The 26308-nt window shown below is 36.7% G+C and overlaps 1 long non-coding RNA gene across 1 annotated transcript; it reads right to left on the reverse strand.

Moving 5' to 3' along the window:
• Window positions 1-2254: 2254 nt before the first annotated feature.
• LOC105371884 (uncharacterized) lies at window positions 2255-26308 on the reverse strand. The gene is made up of 2 exons (XR_934956.3): window positions 26195-26308; window positions 2255-2645 (listed from the first exon to the last, which is right to left on the reverse strand). It is a non-coding gene; the product is annotated as an uncharacterized LOC105371884 (long non-coding RNA).

Here is a 26308-nt window from a genome sequence, read left to right on the forward strand (position 1 = left end):
GGTTCCCAAACGATGAGGTGTTGTATTAGTCCAGAGACTCAGTTCTCCAGAGAAATAGATCTGTTCTAACCAATAGGAGATACACACATAAAATACATATAAAATGAGGATTTGGCTTATGTGGTTATGAGGCTGCTACATTCCGAGGTCTGCAGTTGACAAGCTAGAGGCCCGGGAGAGCTGATAGTGTAGCTCCAGTTTGAATCTGTGTCCAAAGCAAAAGAAGACCAATCTGTTCCAACTCAAAGACAGTAAAGAGAGAGAGAAAATTCTCCTTGGTTCAACCTTTTGGTTCTAGTCAAGCTTGATTAGATTGGATGAGGTCCACTCACATTGGGTAGGACAATCTGCTGTATTCAGTCTACTGGTTCAAATGTTAATCGCATCTAGAAAGACCCTTAGAGACGCATCCAGAATAATGTTTAACTAAATATCTGGACTCCTGTGACCCAGTCAAGCTGACACAAATTAACCATCACAAGTATCAACAGTTGAGGTATTATCCGTGATAATTTACTTCATGAAGAGAAAGGTATTCTGTTGTGAGATGACAGGATGACGCTGCCACACTTCATAGAGAAAAGCAGAAAACCATGGAAGAGAAAATTCCCTGGAGGCATGCACACCTTGTTGCTAGATGTTTCAGGGACACACCTGTTTTCTTACTTTTCCCAGGGCTGGGTTGACTTAAGAAATATTATAGGGACCTGTAATTAAATTCCCATATTTTCTTTAGTTTCAATTCAAACTTGGTTTCAACGATTAGACACTAAAGCTATAAGCTAATACATGTGACTAAGTTTGATTAAAAGATGACTCAATGAGGAGACAAGCAGGCTGGGTTCTATCCTGTGTGTGCTACAGATTGTCTGAGCTCAGAGAAGTCACTTACCCTTTTAAAACTTCAAGTATCTCATCTATTACTCACTATCAAACAAATACATATTGAACACATATTCTGTGCCAGACACTGTGGTAACACCAGGTTTGCAGTGAGAAAAAAACAAACACGATCATAATTTATAAAAGGTGCAGCTAGAATTTGACCCCAGGACTCTCTGCCTCTAATGCTTCTCAACACTCTAATACATTTAAAGCCCCATATTTTTCCACTATATCCAGCTTTTTATATACAGCAAAATAATGTATTCCCCCAAATAATACAATATGTATTCAAACATAAGTAGATATCTCAGTACCATATATATAAACAAATATAAATTATGTATACCCACATGCCATTTAAAATATGTTTCATGTTAAAATTACATTTGGGGGTCATGTTGTGAAAATAAAATAACTGTTGATTTATGAGTCTTCATAAGAGGCCGATTCTTCCTTATAATAAAAGTTATTTATGTCGTTCCTGTTAAGACGAGAAAGTTTCACCATGCGGGAGAAAGCCATTGATTTCCTTTTGGGGATCTTAAAAGTTATTTTCTACTTCCTAAGGTAGAAAGGAGACCTCTATGTACTCTGTTTTATGCATCCCATGCTTATCTTCCCTTCAAAACCCATTCAATCCCCCCATGATCTGTGCCCATGAATCTCTCCTTGGCCTCTTCCACTGCGTGATATTGCACTGCTCTAAACTAATGGAATTGATTTCCCTTTCAACAGTGGGGTGGGGGAACACCGGATGGAAGCAGATAGCAACACTCCCAGAACAGGGAAACTGGTTTGAAAAGCTTGAGGGTGAAATTGCTGCAGGGCCAGAAATAGAGAGCAGCCTTCTGAAAAAGAGAAGGTCACAGATCCAAACAAAGAATGTTTATAATCTGTATGATTGCCAGGTTTTTTGGATAACAGTGACCCAGCAGATTGCTTATGCTGAGTCACTTATGCTATTCCTGGGAAGAGAATAGATTTTTTTTTCTTTTCTTTTTTAAAATTTTCCTTTCTTTTACTTTTTTTTTTTTTTTTTTTTTTTTTTGACACAGGGTCTGGCTCTGTTGCCCAGCCTGAAGTGCAGTGGCTCAATTATGGCTCACTGCAGCCTCGACCTCCTGGGCTGAAACGATCCTCCTGCCTCAGCCTCCCAAGTAGCTGGGACCACAGGCATGAGCCACCACACCCAGCTAATTTTTTAATCTTTTGTGGAGACAGGGTCTTACTATGTTGCCTAGGCCTGTCTCAAACTCCTGGGCTCAAGCAATCCTCCCACCTCAGCCTCCCAAAACATTAGGCTTATAGACGTGAGCCATCACACCTGGCTAAGAACAGATTTGAATGTTGTCAGAATGAAGTAAACAGATAGATATATGACTACTTTATTTGAGCAGGTGAAGTTCCAGTGTGTGGAATCCTAACTTTCCCACTGATTCCTTTTTTGTTATTATTATTTTTCATTAGCATAAAATTTGTTTTGATGAATTTTCTCATGGTGTATGTATCATAAATGTGTAGAGTATTAGTTAATTTTGATTAATCAACTTCAAAGCTCTCAGTGTCTTACACCAACCATATTTTTCTTGGCTTATGGCAGCTGCCGCTCATTTTCTTACTCATGGGTGACCAACTATGGCTCCTCGGACTTGACTGGAAGGAGCTGGGCTTCACTACGTAGTAAAGTTGGGTTCAAGTTGACACCACAGGTTTCTACATTCTCCTTGGGCCAGTAGCATCCTTTTTTCTTCCTGGTGGATCTGAGAAGCACAAGTAGGCAAACAAAATACCAAAAATATGCTTAAAGCCTCTGTGTGTGTCTAATGTCCCCTACCATTCCACTGGCTAAAGAAAGTTACATGGGTGTACATCCAAGTCCTGCAGCAGTGTCAGGAACATTTCTCTGTACATGAGCGGGGGGTCTACAGTTATATGAGAATGTAGTTGTTACAAAGGAGTGAATAACTGACACTAATAATCCAATCCATCTCACAAAATTGACAATAAACAGTACCAAATGTTTCTAAGAAAAATACCATTCTTTCTGAACACCTAATCCTGCTTCTGGGAGACAAATCTTTTCTATTTCTTTTACTGTTTACCTTCATCTATTTATCTATGTTTATGTGTGTGTGTATATATATTTACATATAGTTACGTATATATGTAAATATATATATATATATTTCGAGGTGGAGTTTTGCTCTGTCACCCAAATTGGAGTGCAGTGGCGTGATCTTAGCTCACTGCAACCTCCGCCTCCAGGGTTCAAGCAATTCTCCTGCCTCAGCCTCCTGAGTAGCTTGGATTATAGGCGCCTGCCACTGCGCCTGGCTAATTTTTGTAACTTTAGTACAGATGGGGTCTCGCCATGTTGTCCAGGCTGGTCTCGAACTCCTGACCTCGTCATCCACCTGCCTCAGCCTCCCAAAGTGCATGGATTACATGCGTAAGCCACCACACCCGGTCTGTTTATATTTTTAAATATATTTAGGAAATGGTAATGTGCTTATATTTTGTATAAATTTGTATTCATACATATTCATCAATTTCAGATGTTATCTGTCAAATTCCTGTAATAGGAGACAAGGGTTTAACTTTGTTGTTTACTCATATGTTCCCTTCTCCCACTGTATCAATATAATATTATCACAATTTGGGGATTTAATCTGTTATCAGTGTTTATGTTATAATTCACTGCTTACATGCTACTTTTCAAATTTCCTCACTTATTGATTTTATATTTGCTTAAATATCTTTATACCTTTGTTCTAAAAATTCCATCAAGCTCCTGTCACTAAGTTTTTCTAATATTGAAAGCACAGATACTAGCATGCTGTTAATTTCACCCCCATCCCTTAGTACACACTGAGTTTTGCCTCCTCTTTTGCACTAGCTGCCGCGGACTCCTGGTGCAAAATTATTCTCCTTGAACTTTCTTCTGTGCTTGAGATACTCTACTAGTACTCAATATTCTACTAGTATTCAAAGTTTCCACTGAGAAGTCTAATTTCAAATTCTTAGTAGGTGATCTGTTTTATTCCTCCTCCGTACGTTTTTAGTATATCCATTTTATTTTTTGAATGTCTGAATTACCAAACAGTGCATCTTATTGATGATTGCTTTTTTAATTAGTGGCTTTTCCAAACTGAAGACTCATTTTCAGGTTTGGGAAATTGTCTATCATTATTATCATTATTATTATTTATTTTATCCCCTCTCTGAACCTCCTAGAGTTATTCCTATTTTCATTATTTTTTCCTCTTATTTTTCATCCATTGTATATTTGTTGTGATTTCCAGAAGATGTTTTCTCTTACTGATTGTTCTGATCGTAGTTACCATCATCTCTTGACTCGATTAATAAAATAGCCTTTGAACTCATTTTCCTGAATTTACCTTTGCTTCATTGGTGTCCAGGCACAAAACACCAAACATAGAGACCCTTTTAAATATGATGTCGGCCCAAATGTTCTCTCCTTCAGACGCGGTAATGGTTTGGATGTACAGTTCACTCAGAATGAAAGCTGACATCTTTGCAACAGTCGACAGGCCACTTCTCCATCTGGACTATGGTCAGCCCTCCGTTGTACTCTCTGGCTTTTCTTCCTTTCTCTCAGACTGTCCTAGACACATCAGTGACTTTGCTACTTTTCTACATAGTGCTGGTCTTATGAAAATCAAACATGGGTCACACGTGAAAGCCACATGTGTGATTTTACATTTTTAGTAGCCAGTTTTTTGTTTTTTATTTAAGAAAAAAAAGACATTTTAGGCTGGGCGGTGGCTCATGTCTGTAATCCCAGCACTTTGGGAGGCCGAAGTGGACGGATCACTTGAGGTCAGGAGTTGGAGATTAGCCAGACCAAGATGATGAAACACCATCTCTACTAAAAATACAAAAAATTAGCTGGGCGTGGTGTTGCCTGCCTGTAATCCCAGCTCCTCCGGAGGCTGAGGTGGGAGAATCGCTTGAACCTGGGAGGCAGAGGTTGCTGTGAGCCAAGATCACACCACTGCACTCTAGCTTGAGCGACAGAACAAGACTGTCTCAAAAAAACAAAACAAAACAAAACAAAAAACAAACAAAAACATTTATTTATAACTAGTCTCTCTTTTTTTTTTTGTCTGAGACCTCACTGTTAATTGAAAACCACTGATTGCTCATTAGTACTAAGGGTCAAGAGTTTTCAGTAAGTCACAGAAACAGAGAGCAAAACTGTGTTTACCAGAGGCTGGCGAAGTGGTCTGGGGAATGGGGACATGTGAATTCAATGGACACATAGTATTTCCGTTAGATATGAGGCATGAGTTCAAGAGATCAATTGTACATCGTAGTGACTACAGTTAATAGTAATATATTTAATATTTGAAAATTGCTAAGAGAGTATATTTAAAGTCTTCTCATTACCAAAGAAAATGATACATATTTGAAGTAAGGCATATGTTAAATAGCTTGACATAGCCACATAGCCTTTCTACCGTGTGTACATGTAACATAGTATCATGCTGTATACCATAAGGACTATATATGTAATTTTTCCTTGTCAATTAAAATAAATTTCTTAAAACAATGTTTTTAAAAAGTCAGTAATTTGAACACAGATGTCTAAATAATGCCAGGTTCAAACTTAGATTTAAACATTTAAAATATCCAAAGGAGATTCTCTTACTCTCTCTGCTTTGCTTTACTGTAAGAGATAGAATTCATAGAATTCTAAGTTTACTTTCTCTGGCCAGGCACAGTGGCTCACGTCTGAAATCCCAGCACTTTGGGAGGCCGAGGCTGGCTGATCACTTGAGGTCAGGAGTTTAAGACCAGCCTGGCCAATGTGGTGAAACCCCACCTCTACTAAAAATACAAAAGTTATGCAGGTGTGGTGGCGCATGCCTGTAGTTTTGGCTACTCAGGAGGCTGAGGCAGGAGAATTGCTTGAACCCAGGAGGCAGAGGTTGCAGTGAGCCAAGGCTGTGCCACTGACTCCAGCCTGGGTGACAGAGAGAGAATCCAACAAAAAAAAAAAAAAAAAAAAAAAAGAGAGAGAGAAAACAAAATACTATCTGCATGCTGAAACTTTCCCATGAAAACTGGATAAAGATATGACGAGATTAAAGGAAGACACTAAATTTCTAAATCTTTCTTCCGATAAAATAGTTTAGACAAGATTAATTTGGAAAAAATTCTGGTAAAATCCTTCTAACATGCCCAACTCAGAAAGAGCGTGGTGGAGACTTATGGCCAAAATAGGGCTTGGGATTGAGATCAAGTGCTCCAAATGAGTTTTCTTTTGTGTCCCAGATGAGAAACATATTTGGAAGAATCTGTGAGAGAAATATGCCAGGCAGAAAGTCTGAAAGACAATGAACTTTCTTCTTGATCAGGCAGACCCTGTCACTGATATTTCAGACAGCAGCACCAAAAAGAGTATCAGAGACAGACATACTGTGTACAGGGAGTGAAGGCAAGCAAAACAGAACAGGGACCATTGATAGCTGTCCCCAGTAAGGCATTTTCCCCAAGCAAGAAGAGATAAACTGCCACTGTTGAAAATGCCGACTTGTCTTACGCTTTGTGCTGCTGAAGTGGCACTGAAAATGTATATCTATTGTATCTATTCATATGAAGTTGGGTTGCTCTAACAAAAAATCCAAGCTAGAATGTCTTAAATAAGATATATTAAGTAATAGTGATAGAAAGTAGAGAGGAGTATATAGAATACTGGAATTCCAGAAAACGAGACTGGAAAATATAGAACAGAAGTAATAATAAAAATAGAATAAGATATAATCCTGAGTAAAAGACCCAAATCTGAAGAATATATAGGTACGCGATACATCAGGCAAAATTAATCAAAATAGACTGATATAGACAACTGCATCTCAAAAGAATAAGAAGAAGAATCCAAGAGTGTAACAACATAAATAATGCAAAATTTGCTACTAATAATAACAAAAAATCAGGCTCCTTTCAATGCCTTCTCCTCAGCATTAAACACAAGAATTCAAGATTTGAAGGAAATAAGTTATTTCAAAAGATACCTATTATCAAACAAAGTACAATTCAAATGTGAATATAATGGCAAGACAGGCTCCTATACTTTCTCTGAAAGCACTAATTGAAGATATCCTTCAGCTAACTGCATCACAATAAAGACTTCAAAAGTGGACAGTTTCTAGAAAGCATTAAAGGTGGAAAGCACAAAAACTATTTAAACTAGTCATAGAAAAACAAGCATTATAAATGTAATTATAAAACAAAACACAACTAATTCTTGTAAGAGCAGACACATAAAATGTTAATCATAAACAGATTCTAAATTGCTGGGTCGTATCCCCAAAACTGGGCAACTGCGATTTAAAGAATAAAAATGTGCTACTTCCCTCATTTTAAATAGGAATAAGTAGATACTACTTTGTCACTGACATTGGTAAACAGAAAAGATTAAGTTCAACTGTGCTGTTTTCAACAAAATAAAAGGTGACCATTTGTGTAATTAAAAATCATATTAAATATTCAAGGCAAACAAATTGTAACTCATACTAGAAAAGTAAAAAGAAAACAGCCAGAAACATAAGATAGGAATAATGAAACTTGATATCCAAACAGTAAATTTATTAGTGATGACAATAAATACAAATAGGATAAAACTCCTCAATAAAAGACAAAAACTCATATAAGTAAAAAAATGCAATCCAGAAACTTGCAAGAAATGAGACAACATGGGAGTTTAAATTTTTAAAATCTCCTCTTCAAAAATAAAATGAGATTTATGGAGTAAATATAGCAACAATGTGTTTGTACAGTCAATGGTAAGTACAGTCAATTAGTACAGTCAATGAAACAAGTTAAGGGCCCTCAGCCAAACATAAATAGTGTAAAGTGCGGAATGAATTGCACCCAATTGAAAGAATTAGCAAGAAGTCCACAATTGGATCCCTACAAGAAAGAGCAGAATAGAGCAAAGTAGTAAAGGTAGAGAACAATATCTTAAAACGTTTGCTGCTATTCCTCTAAATTAGTGAGGTCATCAGTGGAGGTATTTGCAGTCATTTGGAATGTTCTTTGAGCCTTTCTTCCTTGATATAGTTTGGCTGTGTCCCCACTCAAATCTCATCTTGAATTTCCACATGTTGTGGGAGGGAGCCAGTGAGAGGTGACTGAATTATGGGGTTGGATTTTTCCTGCCCTGTTCTCCTGATAGTGAGTGAGTCTCAGGAGATCTGATGATTTCAAATATGGGAGTTTCCCTGCACAAGCCCTCTTCTCTTGTCTGCTGCCATGTGGGACGTGCCTTTCACCTCCCACCATGATTGTGAGGCCTCCCCAGCCACATGGAACTGTAAGTCCAATAAACCTCTTTGTTTTGTAAATTGTCCAGTCTCGGGTATGCCTTTACTAGCAGTGTGAAAAAGGACTAATACATTCCTCTTGGTGGAGAACCATCAACAACATAAAAGCACATTGGCGAGAGTCAGAAGAAGCAGTCTAGTTTAGCCTTCTCATGCTAACCTCATCATCCTCTTGCAAAATAGTAATTGCAAGCAGACCAATGTATAATGTCCTAATTCTAATTCTTTGACAGGAAACAAATAACTGTGATTGGAAAAAAACAATTGTTGAGCCCCTGCAAGTGAAATATTTAAATCCACAAGACCTCCCTACCTTTGAGGCAAGAAAGGCAAAGATTGATCCAAATGGGAAGAGATGGTGGCTGGTTCCACAAGAGTGGACCTCAGTGCATGATGCATAACACAGCTGAAGACCAGCAACATGCTGGCACTTCCCACATAGAGCCCTTGCCCATCTCTTTTTATTTTCCTTTCAGTCAACTAATATATAACATCTTAATATTCATGCTTCAACTAGTCATTCTGTCAGGAAGCATTTGATCTGTGTCTAGGTTAAAGGAATTACAAAAAATAAACAATACAAATGAAATCTAAAATGAGGTTTGGATAATAAACAGGGGAGAAGAGTTAGTGAGGTTTGAGGGATAAAGGAATGTTTAAGTATTATAGAGTTGCAGTAAGTAGAAATTTGATGCTATAGAAGAAATAACATTTATTAGTGAAATTAAACATAAATTTCTCAAACAGTTTCCAAGCTAGGTGTTTTAGTCAGGGTTCTCTAGAGGGACAGAACAAATGGAATATATATATATTATATATATATTTATATACATTATATATATTTATATTATATATTTATATTATATATATTTTATATATTTATGTTATATATATTATATAATATATTTATATATAAATATATATTTATATTATATATATTTATATTATATATAGAATATATATTTATATAATATATATTATATATATTATGTAATATATTATATAAATATGTATTATATAATATATATTATATTATATATATTTATATAATATTAATATAAATATATATTTATATTAATACATATTATATAATATAAATATAAATATATATTTATATTAATACATATTATATAATATTAATATAAATATATATTTATATTAATATGTATTATATAATAAGATAAATATATATTTATATTATGTATTATATAATAATATAAATATATATTTATATTATATAATATATATTATATAAATTATATAAAATAAATATATATTATATAATATATATTTATATATAAATATATATTATACAATATTTATATATTTATATATAAGATATATATATTATATATTTACATATTTATATATAATATATAATATATATTATATATAATATGTATATTTATATAATATATATTATATATATATTAATATATATTAATATATTTACATCTATGTATATATTAATATATATTTATATAAATATAATTATATATAATTAAATATATAACTATACATATAATTATATATAATTACATATGATTATGTATATTAGTATATATTTATATATTGATATATATTTATATAAATATACATATTTTTATATATTTATAGATTAATATATATTTATATATATATATATAAAGGGGAGTTTATTTAGTATTAATTAACATGATCACAAGGTCCCGCAATAGGCCATCTGCAGGCTGAGGAGCAAGGAGAGCCAGTCTGAGTTCCAAAACTGAAGAACTTAGAGTCCAATGTTTGAGGGCAGGAAGCATCCAGCACAGGAAAAAGATGTAGGCTGGGAGGCTAAACCAGTCTAGGCTTTTCACGTTTTTCTGCCTACTTTATATTCTGGCCAAACTGGCAGCTGATTAGGTGTTGTCCACACAGATTAAGGGTGTGTCTGTCTTTCCCAGCCCACTGACTCAAGTGTTAATCTCCTTTGGCAACACCCTTACAGACACACCCAGGATGAATACTTTGAATCCTTCAATCCAATTAAGTTGACAGGCAGTATTAACCATCACAAGTCCACTCCTTGTTAACTTGAACCCATACACATCTCCTGAGATCATATATAATCTTCAAATGAAGAAAAGAATGAGGTCATAATTATGCCTAACATAATACAACTATCCTTACTACATCAGGAAAGGCACCGATCCCCAACCCAAATATTATTACATAAAGTTAACAATACTTAAATGCTGATGTGAAGTCAATAAATTTTATGTCATATGATAAAGGAGAAAGGAAATAAAATGAAGGTACTTTCTTATGCGGAAATATGTTTACCAAAAGAAGGAGGAAATACTCATGACAATTACAGTCCTCATTTCTGCAGCTGGTCATGTGGTCATAACTGGTATTGATGACTACCTTCTTCTACCACCCATTCTGTATTCCTTTTGCCTCCAGCAAGCAACTCAGCAGGTCGTGGATTTTTTTTTTTTTCCTGTTGGTGTGACCCAAACCTTCATTCCTGAAGGGTCTGGTAATTTGTAGTCCTCCCTGAATTGGGCTATTATAGTTTCCCATTGACCTTAATCACAGGACATGGTAATACTAAGAGATGCCCTAATGGATCTCCTGTATTCCGGGCACACTCTTCCTACCTCCGTTGTGGAGTAGTAGATCGATTTCATCTTGATAGTCTGGGTCAGTCACCCCAGCCAACACTGTAACTCCTTTCTTAGCCTGTTGACTTCAAGGTAGGAGGATCCCAAAGTGTCCAGGTGGCAATCTTAAATTCTAGTTTAATGGAATCATTGTCGTGTCTCCTGGTGTCAGTGTTCCTCCCTCTGGAACTAAGACCTTTAGGCCAGTAGAACATAATGTCACTGGAACAGGAAGCAGAAATTTTGCTAGTGGATCACTAGGTGAGTGGTGCCACTTCCACCCCTTGATTTCTAGACCCGTGAATCCTGGCTATGGGAGAAATAGTGCCATACATTGGATGCTGAGTCAGAGCATATAGGGCCTTCTGGAGAACTTTGCCCCAATCCTCCAAAGTATTGTCACCTAGTTGGGTTGTAATTGTGACTTCAAAAGGTCATTCCACCATCTATCAATCCAGCTGCTTCAGGATGATGGAGAACATGGTAAGGCCAGTGAATTCCACGAGCATGAGTCCACTGCTGCACTTCTTTAGCCATAAAGTGAGTGCCTTGGTCAGAGGCAGTGCCGTGTGGAATACCATGACGGTGAATAACACATTCTATGAGTTCACAGACGGTAGTCTTGGCAGAAGCATTGTGTGCAGGATAGGCAAACTCATATCTGGAGTCAGTGTCTATTTCAGTGAGGACAAACCTCTGCTCTTTCCATGTTGGTAGAGGTCCAATATAATCAACCTGCCACCAGCAGATCACCCCGAGGAATGGTGCCATATCGAGGGCTCAGTGTTGGTCTCTGCTGCTGGCAAATTGGGCACTCAGCAGTGGCTATAGCCAGGTCAGCCTTGGTGAGTGGAAGTCCATGTTGCTGGGCACATGTGTAACCTCCATCCCTGCCACCATGGACACTTGGTTCATGGGCCCATTGGGTGATGACAGGGGTGGCTTGGGAAAGAGGCTGAGTGGTGTCCACAAAACAAGTCATCCTATCTCCTTGATTATTAAAATCCTCCTCTGCTGAGGTCACCTGTTGGTGAGCACTCACATGGGATACAAATATCTTCACAGTTTTTGACCACTCCGAGAGGTCCATCCACATACCTCTTCCCCAAATTTCTTTGTCACCAATTTTCCAATCATGCTTCTTCCAAGTCCTGACCGTCCAGCCAAGCCCATTGGCTACAGCCATGAATGGGTTTATAGAATCACATCTAGCCATTTCTTCTTCCATGCAAAGTGTACAACCAGGTGCACTGCTCAAATTTCTGCCCACTGGGGAGGTTTCCCTTCACCACTGTCCTTCAGGGATGTCCTAGAAAGGGGCTGTGGTGCTGCAGCTATCCACTTTCGGGTGGTGCCTGCATATTGTGCAGAACCATCTGTGAACCAGGCCCTAGTCTTCTCTTCCTCTGTCAACTGATCATAGGGAGCTCCTCTGAGGCCATCAGTGTAGGATGGGGGAGAGGAGGCAGGGTGGCAAGAGTGGAGACTATGGGCATTTGAGCCACTTCCTCATGTAACTTCCTTGTGCCTTCAGGACCTGCTTGAGCCTGATCACATATATACCACTTCCATTTGATGATGGAATGCTGCTGTGCACAACCCACTTAATGGCTAGATGGATCAGAAAGCACTCAGTTCCTGATAGGCAGTTCAGGTCACATGGTGACTTGAGGACCCATAGTCAAATGTTCAGTTTCCACCAAAGCCAAATAATGGGCCAAGTGCTGTTCCAGTAGTTATCTGCAGAAGATGGCAGGGCCTTGCTCTATAAAGATTCACTACATAAATTGTCAGTAATGTAGTAGTGTCCTCCCTAAAGGAGACCCAGCCTCCCCTTCATTAAAGGGGTTCTGGGTCTATAAACTGGCTCAAGTCTGGAAATTGATTGAAGGGGCGTGATTCTATGTTTTTATAATTCAAATTAGTCTTTTGTCCATTTGACCTCTAAGTTTTCTGTGTATATAAATTAAGTAGGAGTGCAGTAGGTTTCCTATCAATTTCACTTCTAGGAACACAGTGATTCATTAGCCAATGCCATAGCTCTGCATGAATCAGACTATTCTGATTGCCGCTTTGCCTCTGCTGTTCATTACGGTAGCTATGCCCACCTTGCCTTTGACATTTGAGTGCTGCCACTTGGACCCTGCTACCTTGGCATCCAATTATTCCCATTGTTTTTAAATTTTGTAGTTGAGTGACTGCAGTTCCCACTGTTAGATCTGACATACAGAGAAGAGCAATTACGGGGCTCTTCAAAGATGTGGGTGCTGCCCTCACAAATCTATTTCGCAAGACATTGGTCAAGGGTATATCTTCTGGACCTTCCCAGCTGGGATGAGTAGGTCTAAAGTGACTAATCCACTCCACCATCCCAATCTCCCTAAGCCTTTGGATCCCTTCCTCTACATTAAACCAAGGGAGATCAGGCATTTCCACCTCACTCACAGTGGGCGAACTTTTAATCCATATTTCAGCTAACCAAACAGATAAACTTTTAGAACCTTTTTTTAACTCCCCAGGCTGCAACATTAAATGCAGAGTCCTTACTTAGTGGGCCCAAATCAATAAATTCAGCCTGATCCAACTCTATGTTTCTTTCACCATCATCCCACACCCTTAATATCTATTCCCATGCCTGTTCTCCAGATCCCTGTTTATATAAATTAGAAAACTCAAGCACTTCTTTTTAAGTGTAGCACACTTCCTCATGGGTCATACTCTCAGTCCCATCTCTATGGGCCTACCAGGACTTTAGTCTAGTTATAGGTCTAGAAGCAAACAGGAGTGTTGCGGGTGGCTCCTGAGGAGAATCAACATTACCTTGCCTGGCAACTGCCTCATGGGAGGCCATCACTGTTGCCTCAGGGAGCACAGGGTTTATCTCCTCAGATAAAGGTGGAAAGGCTGATGGCAGCATGGGTCAGGAAGAGGATGTTGCCACTACTGGGGATGGGGAAGCTGTCTCTTCTGGCAAAAAAAGTTCATCAGAGTTTACAAACTCAGTATCCCCAGCTTCATCAGGGTCCTCCCACACATCCCCATTCCAAGTTGCAGGGTCCCATTCTTTTCCAATCAGTGCCCTCACTTTAACAGTAGACACCTGGTGAGGCTGTGCATGCACCTTTCCTTGCAGGTCAGCCACTTGCATGATAAGAGCTTGTGTCTGTTTTTCCACAATTTCAGCTCTTTCTCTACAGGACATGAGACTCACTCAGGGCAATCTTAGCAGATTTGAGGTTCAGTATCTGCTTCTGAAGCTAGGAGATAGAATCCCCGAGTTCATTATTTTCTGTCATCACTTTGTCCACTGAACTTAGGAGCAACCAACTAGCTTCATTATGTTCCTTGGCTCTCCACATATGGTCAAAGGTATTATGTACAGAGTCACTAAACTCCTTGACTCTCATGAGCGATGAATCAGGAGTGTCAAATGTATTTATTTTGCATAACTCTCTAAACAGTTCATGCCAAGGACTATCAGTGTTCTCCATACTATTAGAAGTAGAGTCCTTAGCATTTTTGGGTCTAATCATATTAAGCAGCCAACTCCAGAAACCCCAAAATCAGTGAAAGAACTTCATCCTTAATATTCTGTTCCTCTAGAACCACTCCTGGTACCAAAATCTGTATTAGCTAGGGTTCTCTAGAGGGACAGAACTAATGGAATATATGTGTGTGTGTGTGTGTGTATATATATATATATATATATATATATATATATATATATATATGAGTTTATTAAGTGTTAACTCACATGATCACAAGGTCCTACAAAAGGTGGTCTGTAGGCTGAGGAGCAAGGAGAGCCCATCCAAGTTGCAAAACTGAAGAACTTGGAGTCTCATGTTCAAGAGCAGGAAGCATCCAGCACAGGAGAAAGATGTAGGCTGGGAGGCTAGGCCAGTCTGTCTTTTCACATTTTTTTTGCCTGCTTATATTCTAGCTGCACTGGCAGCTGATTAGCTTGTGCCCACCCAGGTTAAGGGTGAGTCTGCCTTTCCCATCCCACTGACTCAAATGTTAATCTTCTTTGACAACACCCTCACAGACATACCCAATACTTTGTATCCTTCAATCTAATCAAGTTGACACTCAATATTAACCATCACACTAGGTATACAAAACTTTAGTATTTAATAAAGATATAAATAGTATTTAATAAAAATAAGCCCTTTCAAACCCTTTGAAAAGGGACAGTTTATTCAATAAATAGTCACAATTAGTGACTTATGGAAAAAAATTAGTTTAACTCCTATTTGAAATCATGTATCAAGATAAATTTCACACTGTTAAAATCATAAGGTAATTTTAAAAATTAGAATAAACTATTGGTGAATATTTATCTGGTCTTCAGAGTGGTCTTTCCAGTTTTTCCTCCTTTTCCACAAAAGCAAAAGGAGGAAAATAAATCATGATAGAAATAATTTAAAAATTTTCAATTTTACATATTTTTTCATGTTTCAAAAAATACCATAAAAATAAAAGGCAAGGTATAAACTGGAAAATATATTTCATGAAACAGTAAAGAAAAATACTTAAGCATAATCTTTTGTGCAAATAAAATTTTTCACTAAAAATGGAGCATTTGAACTAAATTTTGTGAACAGTTCTGGGTCCTGATTATTTCCCAAACGTGTATTTTCTTAAGCACATGTCTGGAGGGGCATGGGAATTTTACAAAACACGTCTTTTTAAAGTAGGCATGCTTAATTACTTCCTGATTTGCTTATTAAATTTTGACCAATTACTTGAAGAGAGTAGCAGGATGAACTTATAAAAGTACAGATTTTGGAGTTTGACAAATCATGCTGGAATCCTGCTTTAAGCATTTACTAGTTTTTTCACCATGTGTATGCCACTCAATTTTTTTGAGATTTGATTTGAAATGGTAAAGTTTGGATCTTTGTCAATATGCAAAAAAAATTACTTTACTTTCCTCCTTGTATGTCAAAGGCTTGCAGATTCCGAGTTTCTAAATGATGCATGATAAAGGCAATTGCCTAAACCAGGGTTGGCAGATGACTACATGCATATCAAATTGGTCTGGCCATTTTTAAATAAAGTTTTATGGAAACACAATCACACCATTTTTTTTAACATGTTGTCTGTGGTTGCTTTTGCCCTATACAAGCAAAGTGGTATCATTGTGAAAGAGACTGTCTGGCCTGCACATCCTAAAATATTATCATCCCCTTTGCAGAAAAAGTTTGCCTACTGCAGGACTGAATTATATTGCTACTTAGCACTTGTGAGAAAAGAACAATCCACCTGTCAAATACACTTACCAGGTGAAAATGAGATTTTAATCTAGAAGTATTAAAATGAAGATTCTGTAGTTAGTATAATTTTCATGTGTTCTGAGTCATTCTAGCAAAATGATGCTTTAAAATATGTTTTAATTATGTTTTATGCATCTGATTTTTTTTTCTCTTCTCTTTTCTTCTCTTCCTCTATTATTTCTTTCTTTCTTTATCAGCAAATCCAATGAGTGATCTAAGCAGGAAAACTGCTGAATGCGAGCACTGCCCCCACTGCACCTCCTTTTGATTTTACTACAATACAGAATATAGTTAAGCAGATGTTCAATGCATTACAGGCCCTGGCTAAGGTACAATCAAAATGGATTGAGTGCCAGAAATCAGGGAGGGGAGTCTGGACTGGCTGTCTTTGCTCCGATTCAATCATGTCTTGTGTTAATCCTGCCCTAGCTGAATCTGAATTTATCTACATGTCTTTGGCCTGGAGATCAAACTGAGAGTTTATGGCTACTCTGTCTCTTGTGAACTTCTGAGCATTTCCTCTTTTCACTCAATCAAAAAAAGAGAGAGAGAGAGAGAAAGACAGAGACAAGATTAGGCTGTCCTTTTTGTTATTACCCTATCATTTTAGAAATAAAGAGATGCTTGACTGGGACATCAATTTGGCAGGTTTAGATAATCCTGTATATCTACTTGCTCAAATAAGTAACTAAATATTATAAAAATGTGGTTTTATCTAACTTTTACTTATAAAATAGAGGAACCAAGATAACACATCTCAGAGTGCTTCCTCCTTTTATTCAGACCACAGGTCTTATTTTCTTATCACATAGTCTCTTCTGTTTTAACATGTTTTTTATCCTTCTGTAATGCTTATATAATTCAAATGGTTACACATAGTTAGCACATCTAATTTTGAGTCATTGCTTGGACCAGAAAAGCCTATGGACTACTTCCTTTCTGTTTTCTCCTTTTTTCCTTTAGGATTCAACTGGCTAATAATTTCATTTTCTTCTTATAAGTACATTCTTCATTCCATTTTTTGAAATAAGCCTGAATCAGAATGCTTCCTCTTTCTTGATACATGTATCCAGAGACTAATCATTCATGTGCCAATGAAACATTTTGATTTATTTTTTTAAATTTTATTATTATACCTTAAGTTTTAGGGTACATGTGCACAACGTGCAGGTTTGTTACATATGTATACATGTGCCATGTTGGTGTGCTGCACCCATTAACTCGTCATTTAGCATTAGGTATGTCTCCTAATGCTATCCCTCCCCCCTCCTCCCATCCCACAACAGTCCCCAGTGTGTGATGTTCCCCTTCCTGTGTCCATGTGTTCTCATTGTTCAATTCCCACCTATGAGTGAGAACATGCGGTGTTTGGTTTTTTGTCCTTGCGATAGTTTGCTGAGAATGGTGGTTTCCAGCTTCATCCATGTCCCTACAAAGGACATGAACTCATCATTTTTTATGGCTGCATAGTATTCCATGGTGTATATGTGCCACATTTTCTTAATCCAGTCTATCATTGATGGACATTTGGGTTGGTTCCAAGTTTTTGCTATTGTGTATAGTGCCGCAATAAACATATGTGTGCATGTGTCTTTATAGCAGCATGATTTATAATCCTTTGGGTATATACCCAGTAATGGGATGGCTGGGTCAAATGGTATTTCTAGTTCTAGATCCCTGAGGAATCGCCACACTGACTTCCACAATGGTTGAACTAGTTTACAGTCCCACCAACAGTGTAAAAGTGTTCCTATTTCTCCACATCCTCTCCAGCACCTGTTGTTTCCTGACATTTTAATGATCACCATTCTAACTGGTGTGAGATGGTATCTTATTGTTGTTTTGATTTGTATTTCTCTGATGGCCAGTGATGATGAGCATTTTTTCATGTGTTTTTTTGGCTGCATAAATGTCTTCTTTTGAGAAGTGTCTGTTCCTATCCTTCGCCCACTTTTTGATGGGGTTGTTTGTTTTTTCCTTGTAAATTTGTTTGAGCTCATTATAGATTCTGGATATTAGCCCTTTGTCAGATGAGAGGGTTGCAAAAATTTTCTCCCATTCTGTAGGTTGCCTGTTCACTCTGATGGTAGTTTCTTTTGCTGTGCAGAAGCTCTTTAGTTTAATTAGATTGCATTTGTCAATTTTGGCTTTTGTCGCCATTGCTTTTGGTGTTTTAGACGTGAAGTCCTTGCCCATGCCTATGTCCTGAATGGTATTGCCTAGGTTTTCTTCTAGGGTTTTTATGGTTTTAGGTCTAACATGTAAGTGTTTAATCCATCTTGAATTAATTTTTGTATAAGGTGTAAGGAAGGGATCCAGTTTCAGCTTTCTACATATGGCTAGCCAGTTTTCCCAGCACCATTTATTAAATAGGGAATCCTTTCCCCTTTTCTTGTTTTTGTCAGGTTTATCAAAGATCAGATAGTTGTAGATATGTCAGATAGTAGATATGTCAGACAGTTGTAGATATGACAGATAAAACTATCTGTCAAATATCAGATAGTTGTAGATAGATTATTTCTGAGGGCTCTGTTCTGTTCCATTGGTCTATATCTCTGTTTTGGTACCAGTACCATGCTGTTTTGGTTACTGTAGCCTTGTAGTATAGTTTGAAGTCAGGTAGCATGATGCCTCCAGCTTTGTTCTTTTGGCTTAGGATTGACTTGGCAATGCAGGCTCTTTTTTGGTTCCATATGAACTTTAAAGTAGTTTTTTCCAATTCTGTGAAGAAAGTCATTGGTAGCTTGATGGGGATGGCATTGAATCTATAAATTACCTTGGGCAGTATGGCCATTTTCATGATATTGATTCTTCCTACCCATGAGCATGGAATGTTCTTCCATTTCTTTGTATCCTCTTTCATTTCCTTGAGCAGTGGTTTGTAGTTCTCCTTGAAGAGGTCCTTCACATCCCTTGTAAGTTGGATTCCTAGGTGTTTTATTCTCTTTGAAGCAATTGTAAATGGGAGTTCACTCATGATTTGGCTCTCTGTTTGTCCGTTATTGGTATATAAGAATGCTTGTGATTTTTGCACATTAATTTTTTATCCTGAGACTTTGCTGAAGTTGCTTATCAGCTTAAGGAGATTTTGGGCTGAAACAATGGAGTGTTCCAGATATACAGTCATGTCATCTGCAAACAGGGACAATTTGACTTCCTCTTTTCCTAATTGAATACCCTTTATTTCCTTCTCCGGCCTGATTGCCCTGGCCAGAACTTCCAACACTATGTTGAATAGGAGTGGTGAGAGAGGGCATCCCTGTCTTGTGCCAGTTTTCAAAGGGAATGCTTCCAGTTTTTGCCCATTCAGTATGATATTGGCTTTGGGTTTGTCATAGATAGCTCTTATTATTTTGAGATACGTCCCATCAATACCTAATTTATTGAGAGTTTTTAGCATGAAGCGTTGTTGAATTTTGTCAAAGGCCTTTTCTGCATCTATTGAGATAATCATGTGGTTTTTGTCTTTGGTTCTGTTTATATGCTGGATTACGTTTATTGATTTTCATATGTTGAACCAGCCTTGCATCCCAGGGATGAAGCCCACTTGATCATGGTGGATAAGCTTTTTGATGTGCTGCTGGATTTGTTTTGCCGGTATTTTATTGAGGATTTTTGCATCAATGTTCATCAAGGATATTGGTCTAAAATTCTCTTTTTTTTGCTGTTGTGTCTCTGCCAGGCTTTGGTACTAATCATTCATGTGCCAATGAAACATTTTGATTTATTTTTAAAAATTATTTGTATTAATTACTTTTTCAGCCATCATGATATATTACTTAAAGAATACGAACATTTTAGTATAAAATTCAATTCATTCTTATTGAGAAACATAGTGGGAAATCTCAATTTTAAGTTAAAAATTCTTTGGGCTGAACTTCTTTTAGATAGCTCATTCCCTATGTGCAATGGAAAATTTCTGAATGAAATTTAAATATTAACTGTCTGGAATATTCTAGAGCATGTAGATTTTTAGTTTCTTACATTTTCTCTGAGAATGAAATGAAGCGATTACCTTGGGCACTGAAGGGGAAAAGGTTAGAAAGAAAATGGCAGAGCCTGTACCACTGGGTTTGGGCAATATTCCCCAGTTGATGGTATGAATGATTTCTATTCAGGTAAGATAGTGCTCTAATTTGAGGAGTTTGTACATTATGTTGTCCTCCACCAATTGTTCTTAACTAAAAGGATTATCAAGGGAATAAGTCACAAATCATATTTAGGTCCATTAAAACAATGAAGAGGAACCCGGAAAGGAGAGGCATTTTTTTTATATTGCACTTAAAATTCATACTTGAGCCTTACTTACATTTCTGCCTTATCTGTCATTGCTGCAATTTGAGAAAGTCACTTACTTGCCACCTCAGAATATGCTTTGTGCATTTCTGTTTGTGGCAAAATTTCGGCCATTCTGTAAACTTTGCCAGAAAGCTACCTGTCTCATCCATTTCTTAGTATTGGAAGCAACCCATATGCTTTATTTTCTGAATCTCTTACATTAGGTTTATCAAGAACAACACACCATGAGGAGGAGCTAGTGTATGCCAGGCACCATGTTAAGTGCTAAGGAGACAATTGCAAACAAGCCATAGAAAATCCCTGGTCTAACAGTAGTCACTGGCTGTTGTGGGGGAAACGCTATAGGCTATGAGACCATTGAGCAGAGTTCCCAGCTGAAGAAATAGCATCTTAGCTGATTCCTAAAGCATGTGTGGACTATAGATGTTTCCTAGAAGAAGGGGTGGAAAAGAAAATGTATTCTAGAACAGAGAACTGCTTATACAGAACTTCATAGAGAAGGTCATCATGTTGAAAATGTGAATATTTAGAAGTCATAGGGCAGGTGAAGATGTAGAATGTGATACAATGAAGATGAACTGGGCTGGAAGGCCAAGAGAATGAGTCAGGTTTAGGAATGAGTGTTGACTCAGTTGAGTAAGAGATCCATCACATTTTTATCTGGCTATTTGGGCAGTCATGTTCTCTCTAAAACCAAACACTAAAAATTGAAGCTTTCAACCAGACCCTGTCAGAAGTTTTCTCTAAATCAAATAGCAAAGAATAATGAATATCTACAAGTAATTGTCTAAGTCCATGACAATGCATTTTAGTTAAGATTGGGATTTTATATATGCATTCATGTGACAGCTCTGTGATTTTAAGGTGGCTCTGGCTAGAGGACTTTTGTTAAAATAAAATCCTTAAGTACACTTGACACAGAGAAACCCCATATCTGTTTGTCAAACACTCTAATTTTGTGGTGCAAAAGTAAAATATCTAAATGGTCAGCCTGCTGATCTGTTGATAATTTGACATCCTTGAAGTCAGGTTTTAAGATCATATTGTCAAGAGCAAGTGGTATCATCTGAAGACATCAAAACACAGAAGGCATCAGACAATGGGAGTTATTTGATATATTCCTTCTTTCATTTTTGTTTTTTGTTCAGGTTGATGAAAAAATGTAAATGTGAATTTAGATATCAGGATGTTAGCACAACCCGACAAAGAAAGAGTAGTTTTCTTTGAAACTTGGCAGGCTCGGAATGACTGCTTCTGACATCATGGGTATATTTAATGAAATATTAATGACTCTGACTTTAATAGGAATTTCAGCACAACCTAAATTAAGCTATTGGAAAAGGGATATGGTCCCGTTAAGAACAGTAAAACCGTAAGCCCCCTTCCTGAAGAGTAGCTGTGGGCAGTTAAAGTGACAATCAATTTAACCAGGCCATATTGCTTTGTAAGTCTCTGAAGTGTGAAGTCCCAGCATGCCTTATGTATTTCATTTTAATTTCCTTTTGGACAGAGCTATGGTTAGTGGGGAACCTCACACACAAAAAGAAAAAAAAATAAATGTGCAGAAGAGAAGGAAATTATTTAACCCTTTCAAAATACTATGCCATATAGTTAGCTAAGTAAAGAAAATAAGGAAGATTAAATTTCTTTTGTTTTCAAAGAAAAATAAATGGGCAGCACATGTAGTAAATAATGATGACAGATCATATTGATAATTTCTATTTAAAAACCTAAAATGCTCCCTTGACATGTATTTTGAGGTTTTTTTTTTTTTGGTTAAGAAACTAGGTGGTTTAGAAATAAATCTTCCTTTGCTATTTCTACATAGAAAGATAAAAATCATGCAATTTCCTATGATTTTTCATCTCTCATTGGAATTAGATATCTAAATGGCCAGTTTGCTGATCTGTTGATAATTTTACATACTAGAAGTCAGGTTTCAAGATATAGTTTTTCAAGTCAGATTAGGTTAGATGTTTTTAAGATGATGTCTTTGTCAACTTTTCCAAAATTTGGATACATAAAATGCAAAAGGAATATGAGAGACTATTCTTAAATTATAAAAGAATGTTCGGTTACCTGCAGCAGTTTCTATGAGATTGTTTTTGTCCCAGAGCAGCCAGGAGAGAAGACAGCAATTGTGTGGTAAAATAAGACATAATTGGAATTGAGAGTCCAGATTGCTAAATTAGACTTTTTTTTTTAGCTTTGTCACTAATTTGTAATTTGACGTCTTTGACGTCATTCTATCTTCCTTGGTTTCATTCCTTGTTCTCTAAATAAAATATTAGGTTTACATAGAACACGAAGCATCCTTAGAAATTTTTATATGTTCAACTACCACTTTTAATTTAAATAAAATGTTAGCTGTTCAAAAAGCAAATATTGCTATATGCGTGATGTTTTACCTTAATACGAGTTGAAAGGTGGCTATTTATATTAAAGTTATCCACGGGAAGAGTTTTCCTTCAAGATTATTTCAGTACAAGCTATGTAAGGAACACCGTTTTGTGTCTTTGAATAAAGAGTGGAAAGTGCCAGCCACATCCTTTTAATAAGATTAGTGTATATTGGCTGATAATTTCATAAAAATTTTGTCAAATTAGTGTTCCTGAAGCATAGTTCTGATAATATTACCCACACTGTCCAAGATTACCTAGTGGTTCCCAGGAATGCTCAGAGTCAAGATCAAATTCTTTTCTTAGACTGCCCTTCAAAGGTTTCTAAAACTTAGTCTTAACCTCAATCTGTGTTCTCAATATTTTTCCCAAGACTTCCAAACTCTACTCCTTCTTCTATTCTTGCTCATGTTGTTCACGCTCTCTGATATTCTCCTTCCCTATTGGTAGATGTCAAAACTTTTACTCAACTTTCAAGATTTGAAGTAAATGTCATCCGTTGAGTCAATCCATCGATTGCATATAATTTCTTCATTCTGGATTCCCACAGCAGCTGAATTTCGTGGTTATAAAGACTTAGATTTAAACCTTGGCCTTACTAATTTCACATGAGTGACCTCACTTATTCTCCTGAATTGTGAGTTTATGTGAAAGGTAACAAGAGTATCTTTCATGAAGAGTTTGGAGATGTGAGGATTAAATGATGACACAAATGAGATGTCTTGTATCCTACACCTAGCAGGCATAGAATTTCTTCTGTTTCTTCTGGTGTCTTCTATTATTTATTGCTTTGTGATTAACAAATTGCACAGTGAACATGTGTTAGCTTTTTGGTATTGGCATAAGGCATTGTCTTCTCCATTTTACAGAATCAGGAAGTACGAGAGCCTCCCTTGTTTTAACCACTCTCCTAGAGAAACATATGTGCACATGACCTCTAGGCTCAAAAATGTAGATGCTTATGTCCAGGATTTGAATCTTGAACAGGTATGACAGAGATGGAGAGAGGTTAAAATTCATATGCAGAAGCAGCAGTAGCAGGGTCCCAGAGCCTCAGAATCCTGGTCAGAATGTGACTCCTAAAAGATAGTTGAATGGCTTCCTGCTTCTTGGATGTCTGAAGTAGCCTGGGTTGCTTTCTAAGCCTGGTTTTCTAACTTTCCATCAATTATTTCAACCTCCAATCTCCTACTTGTTTCATCATTGCTCAGGAAAACCACTGTTGGTTCTATTCCTCACAACTGAAAGTCCTTTAACTGATATAGGTTTCAAAGTCCTTCAGGGCGCACAAGTGACTGATTTGACTTCCTGGTTTTATTTTTTTAATTAGCTAGAATACTACTATATAAAAATATGTCAACTGTGAGCTACTCCAAGTATACTTTATACAGAAGTGTAAAGATAAATGTTTGATGCTTTTCTTTATATACTAGTTTTCAAAATAATGCATCTTTTCTATAGATTTTTTATTAAAAATTATTTATGTGTTTTTTTAGTATTAAGAAATAGTTTCTGAAGTATTTCTATTAATTGCATTTATTGTCTTTATTGAAGTGCAATCATAGTATCTGTATACAGTTTTTTGTTTTGTTTTGTTTTTGAGATGGAGCTTCGCTCTTGTTGCCCAGGCTGATGTGCAATGGCACAATCTCGGCACACTGCAACCTCCGCCTCCTAGGTTCAAGAGATTCTCCTGTCTCAGCCTCCCAAGTAGCTGGGTTTACAGGCATGTGCCACCATGCTCGGCTAATTTTGTATTTTTAGTAGAGACAGGGTTTCACCATGTTGGTCAGACTGGTCTTGAACTCCTGACCTCAGGTGATCCACCTACCTTGGCCTGCCCTCCCAAAGTGCTGGGATTATAGGCGTAAGCCACTGCGGCTGGCCTGTATACAGTTTTTAATTTTGCTTCCTCACGTAAATTCTGTATGCATTTTCCTATCACTGTAGCTGTTATTATTCCATTTGTGCTCACATAAAATATCATTAAGTAAAAGCACTATACTGTTATTTAATTACATTACCTGGCTTTTCAATTATCCTACGTTTGCAAACGAGGTTGGTTCTCATTTATTTCCAAGTAATCTTGTAATCAATGCCTTCATGTGTATAACTTCTTTTGCTTTTAAGTTGTTTCCTTAGGATACATTCATAGGATGTTTACCAAATCACAATGATTAACATTGTTATTTTTACCATATACTGTCAAATTACTTTCCACAGGGCTATACCAATTTATACTCTTCAAATAATGTAGGAAGATACTGTATAAATGTAACTTTGCCTGGTTGGAATTTACCTTTTAAATTGGTCACTTTAATAAGGGTAAAATGTCACATCATTATTGGTGCCATTTACATTTTTTATATAAGGAGATAAAATTTGCTACGTATGCAATTATTTTTTCTAAATCCATTATTTGCTTTATTCCCAGAATTTTGACATTTTCTCACCAAAATTTTTAGTTATTTTAAATATATAATCTATTTTCATCATTTTTTTTCCGTGTAGTGTTTTCAAAGCCAATCCCAAAGCTTAGAAAGCTACTGATGAATATATTGGCTAAACGGTCATTTAAATTTACTTTTAGTTTTTCATTTTTATGTATATATACACACACATTATCATTTATCCTTTTAGAATAACCTTGGATAAACTAAATTACTTATTTTTTCCACATTAGTAAAATTTAGTAAAAATATATGACATTATGAGAAAAATCCCACTGAGTTTCAAATAAGATTGCATCTGATACACCACTTATTATTAGAAAAACTGACAACATTATGACATTTCATCTTCCTTTCCAAAGATAAGTTTTAAATATCTATCTTTTTTTTTTTGGTCTCTCAATTACAAAAAGTAGATCCCAGAAGACTAAAAAAAATTCTAAAGGACATACTATTTTCTTTTTTCCACCCTGGACAAAAACTCTAAGCACCCTTCTATCGAAATAGACATCCAGTGGCCAAGAGCACAGCAGATATTTTGAATTGCTTTGGAACATGTTAATTAGAACTGCTTTATCTTTCTCCGTAAAGCAGATTTAAATTTCCCGGTATAAATCTCGATAAATCTTGGTGTCTATTTTATATATCCGTTTCTAAGCAACAGTGTTATTGATTAATATTTGAATACAATTTCACATTCATTATTTCATTCATTTTTTGCAACCATCCTGAAGTTGGCAATAAATGTTTTCATCATTTTTGTCATATCAAGCAGGTGAGTGAAAAGAAGCTTCAGTTGAGACAGGACTGAAGGGCAGGAGATGACCCTGGAGTCATGCATACTCCACCCTTATTTTAAAACTATTATTCTCTCCCCAGATTATTCTGAAATGACTAGATTATTACCCTGCAATGACTTCCCCAAGATCTTTCTTCTGGAACTAGAGCTCAGGTCTTCTGACTCTCAGTCTGGTTCTCTTACCTCTATGACAGAATAATTCTCAAGAATACAGGAAATCT

This window comes from Homo sapiens, chromosome 17 (assembly GCF_000001405.40).
Source record: "Homo sapiens chromosome 17, GRCh38.p14 Primary Assembly".
Lineage (NCBI taxonomy): Eukaryota > Metazoa > Chordata > Mammalia > Primates > Hominidae > Homo > Homo sapiens.